Source organism: Homo sapiens, chromosome 7, assembly GCF_000001405.40.
Source record: "Homo sapiens chromosome 7, GRCh38.p14 Primary Assembly".
Lineage (NCBI taxonomy): Eukaryota > Metazoa > Chordata > Mammalia > Primates > Hominidae > Homo > Homo sapiens.
In genome coordinates this window covers 7,459,906-7,472,513 of record NC_000007.14, presented here as the reverse complement: position 1 = coordinate 7,472,513, position 12,608 = coordinate 7,459,906, and the positions used below count along the sequence as shown (strand labels likewise).

Below are 12,608 nucleotides of genomic sequence, written 5' to 3'. Positions count from 1 at the left end.
CTTTCAGCAGTGTTTTGTAGTTTTCCCTGTAGAGGTCCTTCGCCTCCTTGGTTAGGTATATTCCTAAGTATTTTATTTTTTTTTTTGCAGCTATTGTAAAAAGGGTTGAGTTCTTGATTTGATTCTCGGCTTGTTTGCTGTTGGTGTATAGAAGAGCTACTGATTTGTGTATATTAATTTTGTATCTGGAAACTTTGTTGAATTCTTTTATCAATTCTAGGAGCTTTCTGGAGGAGTCTTTAGGGTTTTCTAGGTAAACAATCATATCATCAGCAAACAGGCACTTTGACTTTCTATTTATTGATTTGGATGTTCTTTATTTCTTTCTCTTATCTGATTGCTCTGGCTAGGACTTCCAGTACTATGTGTCAGAGGGGTGGTGAGAGTGGGCATCCTTGTCTTGTTCCAGTTCTCAGAGGGAATGCTTTCAGCTTTTCTCCATTCAGTATTATGTTGGCTATGGGTTTGTCATAGATGGTTGTTATTACCTTGAGGTATGCTCCTTGTATGCCAATTTTGCTGAGAGCTTTAATCATAAAGGGATGCTGGATTTTGTCAAATGCTCTTTCTGCATCTATTGAGATCATCATGTGATTTTTGTTTCTTGTTTTGTTTTTTTGAGGCAGGGTCTCACTTTGTTGCCCAGGCCAGAGTGCAGTGGTGCCATCTCAGTTCACTGCAACCTCCACCTCCCAGGTTGAAGCAATTCTCCTGCCTCAGCCTCCTGAGTAGCTGGGATTGCAGGTGCCCGCCACCACATCCAGCTAATTTTTATGTTTTTAGTAGAGATGGGGTTTCATCATGTTGACCAGGCTGGTCTCAAACTTCTGACCTCAAGTGATCTGCCTGCCTTGACCTCCCAAAGTGCTGGGATTACAGGTGTGAGCCACCATGCCCAGCCTGTTTTATTCTGTTCATGTGGTGTATCACATTTATTGACTTGCGTATGTTAAACCCATCCCTGCATCCCTGTTATGAAACCCATTTGATCATGGTGGATTATCTTTTTGATACGTTGTTGGATTCAGTTAGCTAGTATTTTGTTAAGGATTTTAGCATATATGTTCATGAGGGATATTGGTCTGTAGTTTTCTCTTTTGGTTATGTCCTTTCCTGGTTTTGGTATTAGGATGATACTGGCTTCATAGAATGATTCAGGGAGGGTTCCCTTTTTCTCTATCTTGTGGAATAGTGTCAATAGGATTGATAATTCTTTGAATGTCTGGTAGAATTTTGTTGTGAATCCGTCTAGTCCTGGACATTTTTTGTTGGTAATTTTAAAATTACCATTTCAGTCTTACTGCTTGTTATTGGTCTGTTAAGAGTATCTAATTCTTCCTGATTTAAGCTAGGAAGGTTGTATCTTTTCTTTTTTTTTTTTTTTTTTTAATTATTTTTTTTTATTATACTCTAAGTTTTAGGGTACATGTGCACATTGTGCAGGTTAGTTACATATGTATACATGTGCCATGCTGGTGCGCTGCACCCACTAACTCGTCATCTAGCATTAGGTATATCTCCCAGTGCTATCCCTCCCCCCTCCCCCGACCCCACCACAGTCCCCAGAGTGTGATATTCCCCTTCCTGTGTCCACGTGATCTCATTGTTCAATTCCCACCTATGAGTGAGAATATGCGGTGTTTGGTTTTTTGTTCTTACGATAGTTTACTGAGAATGATGGTTTCCAATTTCATCCATGTCCCTACAAAGGATATGAACTCATCATTTTTTATGGCTGCATAGTATTCCATGGTGTATATGTGCCACATTTTCTTAATACAGTCTATCATTGTTGGACATTTGGGTTGGTTCCAAGTCTTTGCTATTGTGAATAGTGCCGCAATAAACATACGTGTGCATGTGTCTTTATAGCAGCATGATTTATAGTCCTTTGGGTATATACCCAGTAATGGGATGGCTGGGTCAAATGGTATTTCTAGTTCTAGATCCCTGAGGAATCGCCACACTGACTTCCACAATGGTTGAACTAGTTTACAGTCCCACCAACAGTGTAAAAGTGTTCCTATTTCTCCACATCCTCTCCAGCACCTGTTGTTTCCTGACTTTTTAATGATTGCCATTCTAACTGGTGTGAGATGATATCTCATAGTGGTTTTGATTTGCATTTCTCTGATGGCCAGTGATGATGAGCATTTCTTCATGTGTTTTTTGGCTGCATAAATGTCTTCTTTTGAGAAGTGTCTGTTCATGTCCTTTGCCCACTTTTTGATGGGGTTGTTTGTTTTTTTCTTGTAAATTTGTTTGAGTTCATTGTAGATTCTGGATATTAGCCCTTTGTCAGATGAGTAGGTTGTGAAAATTTTCTCCCATGTTGTAGGTTGCCTGTTCACTCTGATGGTAGTTTCTTTTGCTGTGCAGAAGCTCTTTAGTTTAATTAGATTCCATTTGTCAATTTTGGCTTTTGTTGCCATTGCTTTTGGTGTTTTGGACATGAAGTCCTTGCCCACGCCTATGTCCTGAATGGTAATGCCTAGGTTTTCTTCTAGGGTTTTTATGGTTTTAGGTCTAACGTTTAAATCTTTAATCCATCTTGAATTGATTTTTGTATAAGGTGTAAGGAAGGGATCCAGTTTCAGCTTTCTACATATGGCTAGCCAGTTTTCCCAGCACCATTTATTAAATAGGGAATCCTTTCCCCATTGCTTGTTTTTCTCAGGTTTGTCAAAGATCAGATAGTTGTAGATATGCGGCATTATTTCTGAGGGCTCTGTTCTGTTCCATTGATCTATATCTCTGTTTTGGTACCAGTACCATGCTGTTTTGGTTACTGTAGCCTTGTAGTATAGTTTGAAGTCAGGTAGTGTGATGCCTCCAGCTTTGTTCTTTTGGCTTGGGATTGACTTGGCAATGCGGGCTCTTTTTTGGTTCCATATGAACTTTAAAGTAGTTTTTTCCAATTCTGTGAAGAAAGTCATTGGTAGCTTGATGGGGATGGCATTGAATCTGTAAATTACCTTCGGCAGTATGGCCATTTTCACGATATTGATTCTTCCTACCCATGAGCATGGAATGTTCTTCCATTTGTTTGTGTCCTCTTTTATTTCCTTGAGCAGTGGTTTGTAGTTCTCCTTGAAGAGGTCCTTCACATCCCTTGTAAGTTGGATTCCTAGGTATTTTATTCTCTTTGAAGCAATTGTGAATGGGAGTTCACCCATGATTTGGCTCTCTGTTTGTCTGTTGTTGGTGTATAAGAATGCTTGTGATTTTTGTACATTGATTTTGTATCCTGAGACTTTGCTGAAGTTGCTTATCAGCTTAAGGAGATTTTGGGCTGAGACGATGGGGTTTTCTAGATAAACAATCATGTCGTCTGCAAACAGGGACAATTTGACTTCCTCTTTTCCTAATTGAATACCCTTTATTTCCTTCTCCTGCCTGATTGCCCTGGCCAGAACTTCCAACACTATGTTGAATAGGAGTGGTGAGAGAGGGCATCCCTGTCTTGTGCCAGTTTTCAAAGGGAATGCTTCCAGTTTTTGCCCATTCAGTATGATATTGGCTGTGGGTTTGTCATAGATAGCTCTTATTATTTTGAAATACGTCCCATCAATACCTAATTTATTGAGAGTTTTTAGCATGAAGGGTTGTTGAATTTTGTCAAAGGCTTTTTCTGCATCTATTGAGATAATCATGTGGTTTTTGTCTTTGGCTCTGTTTATATGCTGGATTACATTTATTGATTTGCGTATATTGAACCAGCCTTGCATCCCAGGGATGAAGTCCACTTGATCATGGTGGATAAGCTTTTTGATGTGCTGCTGGATTCGGTTTGCCAGTATTTTATTGAGGATTTTTGCATCAATGTTCATCAAGGATATTGGTCTAAAATTCTCTTTTTTGGTTGTGTCTCTGCCCGGCTTTGGTATCAGAATGATGCTGGCCTCATAAAATGAGTTAGGGAGGATTCCCTCTTTTTCTATTGATTGGAATAGTTTCAGAAGGAATGGTACCAGTTCCTCCTTGTACCTCTGGTAGAATTCAGCTGTGAATCCATCTGGTCCTGGACTCTTTTTGGTTGCTAAACTATTGATTATTGCCACAATTTCAGAGCCTGTTATTGGTCTATTCAGAGATTCAACTTCTTCCTGGTTTAGTCTTGGGAGAGTGTATGTGTCGAGGAATGTATCCATTTCTTCTAGATTTTCTAGTTTATTTGCGTAGAGGTGTTTGTAGTATTCTCTGATGGTAGTTTGTATTTCTGTGGGATCGGTGGTGATATCCCCTTTATCATTTTTTATTGTGTCTATTTGATTCTTCTCTCTTTTTTTCTTTATTAGTCTTGCTAGCGGTCTATCAATTTTGTTGATCCTTTCAAAAAACCAGCTCCTGGATTCATTGATTTTTTGAAGGGTTTTTTGTGTCTCTATTTCCTTCAGTTCTGCTCTGATTTTAGTTATTTCTTGCCTTCTGCTAGCTTTTGAATGTGTTTGCTCTTGCTTTTCTAGTTCTTTTAATTGTGATGTTAGGGTGTCAATTTTGGATCTTTCCTGCTTTCTCTTGTAGGCATTTAGTGCTATAAATTTCCCTCTACACACTGCTTTGAATGCGTCCCAGAGATTCTGGAATGTTGTGTCTTTGTTCTCGTTGGTTTCAAAGAACATCTTTATTTCTGCCTTCATTTCGTTATGTACCCAGTAGTCATTCCGGAGCAGGTTGTTCAGTTTCCATGTAGTTGAGCGGCTTTGAGTGAGATTTTTAATCCTGAGTTCTAGTTTGATTGCACTGTGGTCTGAGAGATAGTTTGTTATAATTTCTGTTCTTTTACATTTGCTGAGGAGAGCTTTACTTCCAAGTATGTGGTCAATTTTGGAATAGGTGTGGTGTGGTGCTGAAAAAAATGTATATTCTGTTGATTTGGGGTGGAGAGTTCTGTAGATGTCTATTAGGTCCGCTTGGTGCAGAGCTGAGTTCAATTCCTGGGTATCCTTGTTGACTTTCTGTCTCGTTGATCTGTCTAATGTTGACAGTGGGGTGTTAAAGTCTCCCATTATTAATGTGTGGGAGTCTAAGTCTCTTTGTAGGTCACTGAGGACTTGCTTTATGAATCTGGGTGCTCCTGTATTGGGTGCATAAATATTTAGGATAGTTAGCTCCTCTTGTTGAATTGATCCCTTTACCATTATGTAATGGCCTTCTTTGTCTCTTTTGATCTTTGTTGGTTTAAAGTCTGTTTTATCAGAGACTAGGATTGCAACCCCTGCCTTTTTTTGTTTTCCATTGGCTTGGTAGATCTTCCTCCATCCTTTTATTTTGAGCCTATGTGTGTCTCTGCACGTGAGATGGGTTTCCTGAATACAGCACACTGATGGGTCTTGACTCTTTATCCAACTTGCCAGTCTGTGTCTTTTAATTGCAGAATTTAGTCCATTTATATTTAAAGTTAATATTGTTATGTGTGAATTTGATCCTGTCATTATGATGTTAGCTGGTGATTTTGCTCATTAGTTGATGCAGTTTCTTCCTAGTCTCGATGGTCTTTACATTTTGGCATGATTTTGCAGCGGCTGGTACCGGTTGTTCCTTTCCATGTTTAGCGCTTCCTTCAGGAGCTCTTTTAGGGCAGGCCTGGTGGTGACAAAATCTCTCAGCATTTGCTTGTCTATAAAGTATTTTATTTCTCCTTCACTTATGAAGCTTAGTTTGGCTGGATATGAAATTCTGGGTTGAAAATTCTTTTCTTTAAGAATGTTGAATATTGGCCCCCACTCTCTTCTGGCTTGTAGGGTTTCTGCCGAGAGATCCGCTGTTAGTCTGATGGGCTTTCCTTTGAGGGTAACCCGACCTTTCTCTCTGGCTGCCCTTAACATTTTTTCCTTCATTTCAACTTTGGTGAATCTGACAATTATGTGTCTTGGAGTTGCTCTTCTCGAGGAGTATCTTTGTGGCGTTCTGTGTATTTCCTGAATCTGAACGTTGGCCTGCCTTGCTAGATTGGGGAAGTTCTCCTGGATAATATCCTGCAGAGTGTTTTCCAAGTTGGTTCCATTCTCCACATCACTTTCAGGTACACCAATCAGACGTAGATTTGGTCTTTTCACATAGTCCCATATTTCTTGGAGGCTTTGCTCATTTCTTTTTATTCTTTTTTCTCTAAACTTCCCTTCTCTCTTCATTTCATTCATTTCATCTTCCATTGCTGATAACCCTTTCTTCCAGTTGATCACATCGGCTCCTGAGGCTTCTGCATTCTTCACGTAGTTCTCGAGCCTTGGTTTTCAGCTCCATCAGCTCCTTTAAGCACTTCTCTGTATTGGTTATTCTAGTTATACATTCTTCTAAATTTTTTTCAAAGTTTTCAACTTCTTTGCCTTTGGTTTGAATGTCCTCCCGTAGCTCAGAGTAATTTGATCGTCTGAAGCCTTCTTCTCTCAGCTCTTCAAAGTCATTCTCCATCCAGCTTTGTTCTGTTGCTGGTGAGGAACTGCGTTCCTTTGGAGGAGGAGAGGCGCTCTGCGTTTTAGAGTTTCCAGTTTTTCTGTTCTGTTTTTTCCCCATCTTTGTGGTTTTATCTACTTTTGGTCTTTGATGATGGTGATGTACAGATGGGTTTTCGGTGTAGATGTCCTTTCTGGTTGTTAGTTTTCCTTCTAACAGACAGGACCCTCAGCTGCAGGTCTGTTGGAATACCCTGCCGTGTGAGGTGTCAGTGTGCCCCTGCTGGGGGGTGCCTCCCAGTTAGGCTGCTCGGGGGTCAGGGGTCAGGGACCCACTTGAGGAGGCAGTCTGCCCGTTCTCAGATCTCCAGCTGCGTGCTGGGAGAACCACTGCTCTCTTCAAAGCTGTCAGACAGGGACACTTAAGTCTGCAGAGGTTACTGCTGTCTTTTTGTTTGTCTGTGCCCTGCCCCCAGAGGTGGAGCCTACAGAGGCAGGCAGGCCTCCTTGAGCTGTAGTGGGCTCCACCCAGTTCGAGCTTCTCGGCTGCTTTGTTTACCTAAGCAAGCCTGGGCAATGGCGGGCGCCCCTCCCCCAGCCTCGTTGCCGCCTTGCAGTTTGATCTCAGACTGCTGTGCTAGCAATCAGCGAGATTCCGTGGGCGTAGGACCCTCTGAGCCAGGTGGGGGATATAGTCTCGTGGTGCGCCGTTTCTTAAGCCGGTCTGAAAAGCGCAATATTCGGGTGGGAGTGACCCGATTTTCCAGGTGCGTCCGTCACCCCTTTCTTTGACTCGGAAAGGGAACTCCCTGACCCCTTGCGCTTCCCAGGTGAGGCAATGCTCGCCCTGCTTCGGCTCGCGCACGGTGCGCACACACACTGGCCGGCGCCCACTGTCTGGCACTCCCTAGTGGGATGAACCCGGTACCTCAGATGGAAATGCAGAAATCACCCGTCTTCTGCGTCGCTCACGCTGGGAGCTGTAGACCGGAGCTGTTCCTATTCGGCCATCTTGGCTCCTCCCCCGGTTGTATCTTTTCAAGAATTTATTCATCTCCTCTAGGCTTTCTAGTTTATGCGCATAAAGGTGTTCATAGTAGCCTTGAATGATCTTTTGGATTTCTGCTTGGATTTCTTTTAGATTTTTGGTGCCAGTTGTAAATCTCCTGTTTCGTTTCTAATTGAACTTATTTGGATTTTCTCCCTTCTTTTCTTGGTTAATCTTGCTGATGGTCTATCAATTTATCTTTTCAAAGAACCAGTTTTTGTTTCATTTATCTAATTTTCAATTTCATTCAGTTCTGCTCTGATCTTGCTTATTTCCTTTCTGCTGAGTTTGGGTTTGGTTTGTTCTTGTTTCTCTAGTTCCTTGAGGTGTGACCTTAAATTGTTTGTTTGTGCTCTTTCAGACTTTTTGATATAGGTGTTTAGGGCTATGAACTTTCCTCTTAGCACTGCCTTTGCAGTATCCCAGAGGTTTTCATAGGTTGTGTCACTATTGTCATTCAGTTTGAAGAATTTTTAAATTTCCATCTTGATTTCATTTTTGACCCAGTGATCTTTCAGGAGCAGGTTATTTAATTTCCATGTATTTGCATGGCTTTGAAGGTTCATTTTGGAGTTGATTTCCAGTTTTATTCCACTGTGGTCTGAAAGACTGCTTGGTATAATTTCACTTTTCTTGAACTTATTGAGGCTTGTTTTGTTGCCTGTGATATGTTTTATCTTGGAGAAGGTACCATGCACTGTTGAATAGAATGTATATTTTGTGGTTGTTGGGTAGAATGTTCTGTAAGTATCTGTTAAGTCCGTTTGTTCCAGGGTATAGTTTAAATCCATTATTTCTTTGTTGACGTTCTGTCTCGATGACCTGTCTAGTGCTGTCAGTGCAGTATTGAAGTGCCCCACTATTATTGTGTTGCTGTCTGTCTCATTTCTTAGGTATATTAGTAATTGTTTTATAAATTAGGGAGCTCCAGTGTTGGGTGCATATATATTTAGGACTGTGATGTTTTCCTGTTGGACAAGGCCTTTTATCATTATATAATGACCTTCTTTATCTTTTTAAACTGTTGTTGCTTTAAAGTTTGTTTTGTCTGATATAAGAATGGCTACCCCTGGTTGCTTTTGGTGTCCATTTGCATGAAATGTCATTTTCCATCAGCTTACCTTAAGTTTAAGTGAGTCCTTATGTGTTAGGTGAGTCTCTTGAAGGCAGCAGATTGGTTGGTGAATTCTTATCCATTCTGCAATTCTATGTATTTTAAGTGAACCATTTAGGCCATTTACATTCAATGTTAGTATTGAGATGTGAGGTACCATTCACTGTGCTATTTTTTGCCTATATACCTTTTTTATTATATTTTTGTTTTATAGGTCCTGTGAAATTTATGATTTAAAGAGTTTCTGTTTTGATGTGTTTCCAGGATTTCTTTCAAGATTTAGAGCTCCTTTTGGCAGTTCTTGTAGTGCTGGGTTGGTAGTGGCAAATTCTCTCAGCATTTGTTTGTCTGAAAAAGACTGTATCTTTCCTTCATTTATGAAGCTTAGTTTCAGTGGAAACAAACTTCTTAGCTGATAATTGTTTTGTTTGAGGAGGCTGATGATAGGACCCCAATCCCTTCTAGCTTGTAGAGTTTCTGCTGAGAAATCTGCTGTTAATCTGATAGGTTTTCCTTTATAGGTTACCTATACAGGAAAGATTTCAACAGTTCATTATTATTACTTCTGCTCTAGGGTTTTTGTAGATACTCTTTATAAAACTTAAAAGTTCCATTTAGTGCTCGATATAATATGTTATTAAAGAATTACAATTAAACATTAGTGAGGTGTTTTTGCCTCACAGCTGTTAAGATTCTTTCCTTCTTCTTAACTTCAGATAACCTGATGACAGTGTTCCTGGGTGATGATCTTTTTTGCGATGAATCTCCCAGGTGTTCTTTGAGCTTCTTGTATTTTGATATCTAGTTCTCTAGCAGGGGTGGGGAAGTTTTCCTCGATTATTCCTCCAAATATATTTTTCAAACTTTTAGATTTCTCTTCTTCCTCAGGAACACCAATTATTCTTAGGTTTGGCCATTTAACATAATCCCAGATTTCTTGGAGGCTTTGTTCATATTTTCTTATTCTTTTTTGTTTGGATTAATTAAAAAACCTTGTCTTTGAGCTCTGAAGGTCTTCCTTTTGCTTGTTAAATTGTATTACTGAGAGCTTCCAGAGCATTTTGCATTTCTTTCTTTTTTCTTTTTTTTTTTTTTGAGATGGAGTTTTGCTCTTGTTGCCCAGGCTGGAGTGCAATGGCGTGATCTTAGCTCTCACCACAACTTCTGCCTCCCGGGTTCAAGTGATTATCCTGCCACAGCATCCCCAGTAGCTGGGATTACAGGCATGTGCCACCACGCCCGGCTAATTTTTGTATTTTTAGTAGAGACGGGGTTTCTCTATGTTGGTCAGGCTGGTCGTGAACTCCTGACCTCAGGTAGTCCATCTGCCTCGGCCTCCCAAAGTGTTGGGATTACAGGTGTGAGCCACCGTGCTCAGCCTGCATTTCTGTAAGTGTGTCCATGTTTCCTGAAGTTTTGATTGTTTTTATTTATGCTATCTATTTCATTGAATATTTCTCCCTTCACTTCTTGTATCATTTTTTAAATTTCCTTACATTGGGCTTCACCTTTCTCTGGTGCCTTCCTGATTAGCTTAATAACTCACCTTCTGAATTCTTTTTCAGGTAGATCAAGGATGTCTTCTTGTTTGGATCTATTGCTGGTGAGCTAGTGTAATTTTTTGGGGGTGTTAAACAACCTTGTTTCGTCATATTACCAGAGTTGGTTTTCTGTTTCCTTCTCATTTGGGTAGGCCCTGTCAGAGGGAAGTTCCAGGGCTCAAGGCTGTCATTAAATTCCTTTTGTCCCATGGGGTGTTTCCTTGATTTAGTAGTCTCATCCTTTTTCTAGGGATGTGGCTTCCTGACAGCTAAGCTGTAGTGATTGTTATCTCTCTTCTGGATCTAGCCATCCAGCAAGTCTACCGGGCTCCAGGCTGGTACTGGGGGCTGTTTGCACAGAGTCCTATGATGTGAACCGTCTGTGGGTCCCTCAGCCATGGATACCAGCGCCTGCTCCAGTGGGTGAAATGGACTCTGTGAGGGTCCTTAGCTTTGGTTGGTTAGTACAGTATTTTTGTGCCGGTTGGCCTCCTCCTGGGAGGTGGTGTTTTCAAGAGAGCATCAGTTGTGGTAGTATGGGAAGGAACAGGTGGTGGACAGGGCCTTATAACTCCCATGAGTATATGCCCTTTGTCTTCAGTTACCAGGGTGGATAGGGAAGGACCATTAGGCGGGAGCAAGGCTAGGTGTTTCTGAGCTCAGACTCTACTTCTACTTGGGTGGGTCTTGCTGTGGCTGCTGTGGGGGTAAGGGAGAGGTTCCCAGATCAATGGAATTGTATACCTAGGAGGATAATGGCTGCCTCTGCTGTGCCATACAGGTTGTCAGGGAAGTGGGGGAAAGCCAGCAGTCATAGTCCTAACCTAGCTCCAGTGCAAACTGAAGGGCTGGTCTGACTCCCACCGTGCCCTCCCAACAACACTGAGTCTGTTTCCAGGCAGTGGGTGAGTAGGGCTGAGAGGTTGCCCCAGGCTTCCCACCTCCCAGCTAGGAAAGTCAGTAGAGCTTTCCTTCTTCCCCTGTCTGTGGAGTCTGCACACTGGATTCACGCCCTTTCCTGAGTTCTGGCCAGGAGACTTCTCAATCTGTTGAAATTATTACAGAATTCAGTTGGAGGTTTCCTTCCCCCTGTGGGCTTTTCCCAGTGCCTCTGGCAGCCATCCTCAAGGACCCCAGTGATGTGAGGCAGAGATGGCTTGCTAGGGAACCCACTGAGCCCACAGGGATTTTCCTGCTGCTTTCTCTACTCCTGTATTTCGCTTGGCTCTCTAAATTGACTCAGCTCCCATAATCTAGACCTTCAGGTTCCCCAGTGGGGGTATGTGTTCAGGGGCGGACAATCTCCCTTTCCCATTTCTATAGTTTGGGCACTCACAATATTTGGGATGTCTCCCAGGTCCTGCAGGAGCAATCCATTCCCTTCAGCAAGTCCGTGGGTTTTCTTGGCTTTCCAAATGTATTCCTGCAGTCGTTCTAGAGCAAAGGTTCACAGTGCTAGCCTCCACATGCTGTTCTTTCCATCCGAGTGGGAGCTGCGATCTAGTCCTGCCTCCTGTCCACGATGATCTCCAAATCTAGTATATGCAAGGTGTGTTATTATGTAGGATGAGTTATGATCTGAGAAATTAGGTTATTTCTATTTATTGTAATGTCTCACTTATTTGGGTTCTGACATCCAGTGACTTCTACCATCAGCAAAGCAGCTTTGAATCCAGACATTATCGAAAGACATTTCTTCTTAGTAAAGAAAACAGTTGTTAAAAACATTGACTTGGCCGGGCGCAGTGGCTTACGCCTGTAATCCCAGCACTTTGGGAGGCTGAGGCGGGCGGATCACGAGGTCAGGAGATCGAGACCATCCTGGCTAACACGGTGAAACCTTGTCTCTACTAACAATACAAAAATTAGCCGGGCGTGGTGGCAGGCGCCTGTAGTCCCAGCTACTCGGGAGGCTGAGGCAGGAGAATGGTGGGTGAACCCAGGAGGCGGAGCTTGCAGTGAGCCAAGATTGCACCACTGCACTCCAGCCTGGGTGACAGAGCAAGACTCCATCTCTAAAAAAAAAAACAACAAAAAACATTGACTTGACCTTCTTATAGAAGTGTATATCCATCCCTAGGCTCCCACTCAAAAATATTATCTTAAAATCAGGTTAAAATCAGAAAACTCATTTAAGAAAACTAGTGTTGATGCCCTCCAGCAAGGACCAACAGGAATCCATCCAGAGTTTTAGCAAGGCTTGTTGACTCTGAAGGAAGGAAGACCACATACGATGAACCTACAGTGACTCAGGAAGAGGATGAAAGATATTTCATAGGATTTGCACTTGTGTTAGGTGATTTTGGGAAGCATTTAAGAAATCAGGGATGGGCTCTGGATTTAATGTTGTCAATAGTTGGGGATAAGTTTAGGATTGAGTATTTAATGAATCTCATCTAGAAGTTGGGACAAATGGAGTTAGGCTGAGTCATAACTGATAGAAGTAGCAGTCACTCATTTTAGCCAGTATTGGAGGATGTTTGATAATTTGAGGGTTTTATATAGTGTTT

The 12,608-nt window shown here is 41.8% G+C and overlaps 1 protein-coding gene across 13 annotated transcripts in view, besides 1 other annotated feature; it reads left to right on the top strand.

Annotated features, from left to right (window-relative positions):
* Positions 1 to 12,608, top strand: part of COL28A1 (collagen type XXVIII alpha 1 chain) — a 205,677-nt gene that overhangs the window by 71,357 nt on the left and 121,712 nt on the right. The gene's annotated exons all lie outside the window — the stretch shown is intronic.
* Positions 6,422 to 7,105: an enhancer, noted in NCBI's record as "NANOG-H3K27ac-H3K4me1 hESC enhancer chr7:7505040-7505723 (GRCh37/hg19 assembly coordinates)". NCBI's record gives its function as "activates a minimal SCP1, AML or CMV promoter by ChIP-STARR-seq in primed H9 embryonic stem cells {active_cell/tissue: H9 hESC(primed)}" and the evidence as "EXISTENCE:reporter gene assay evidence [ECO:0000049][PMID:30033119]".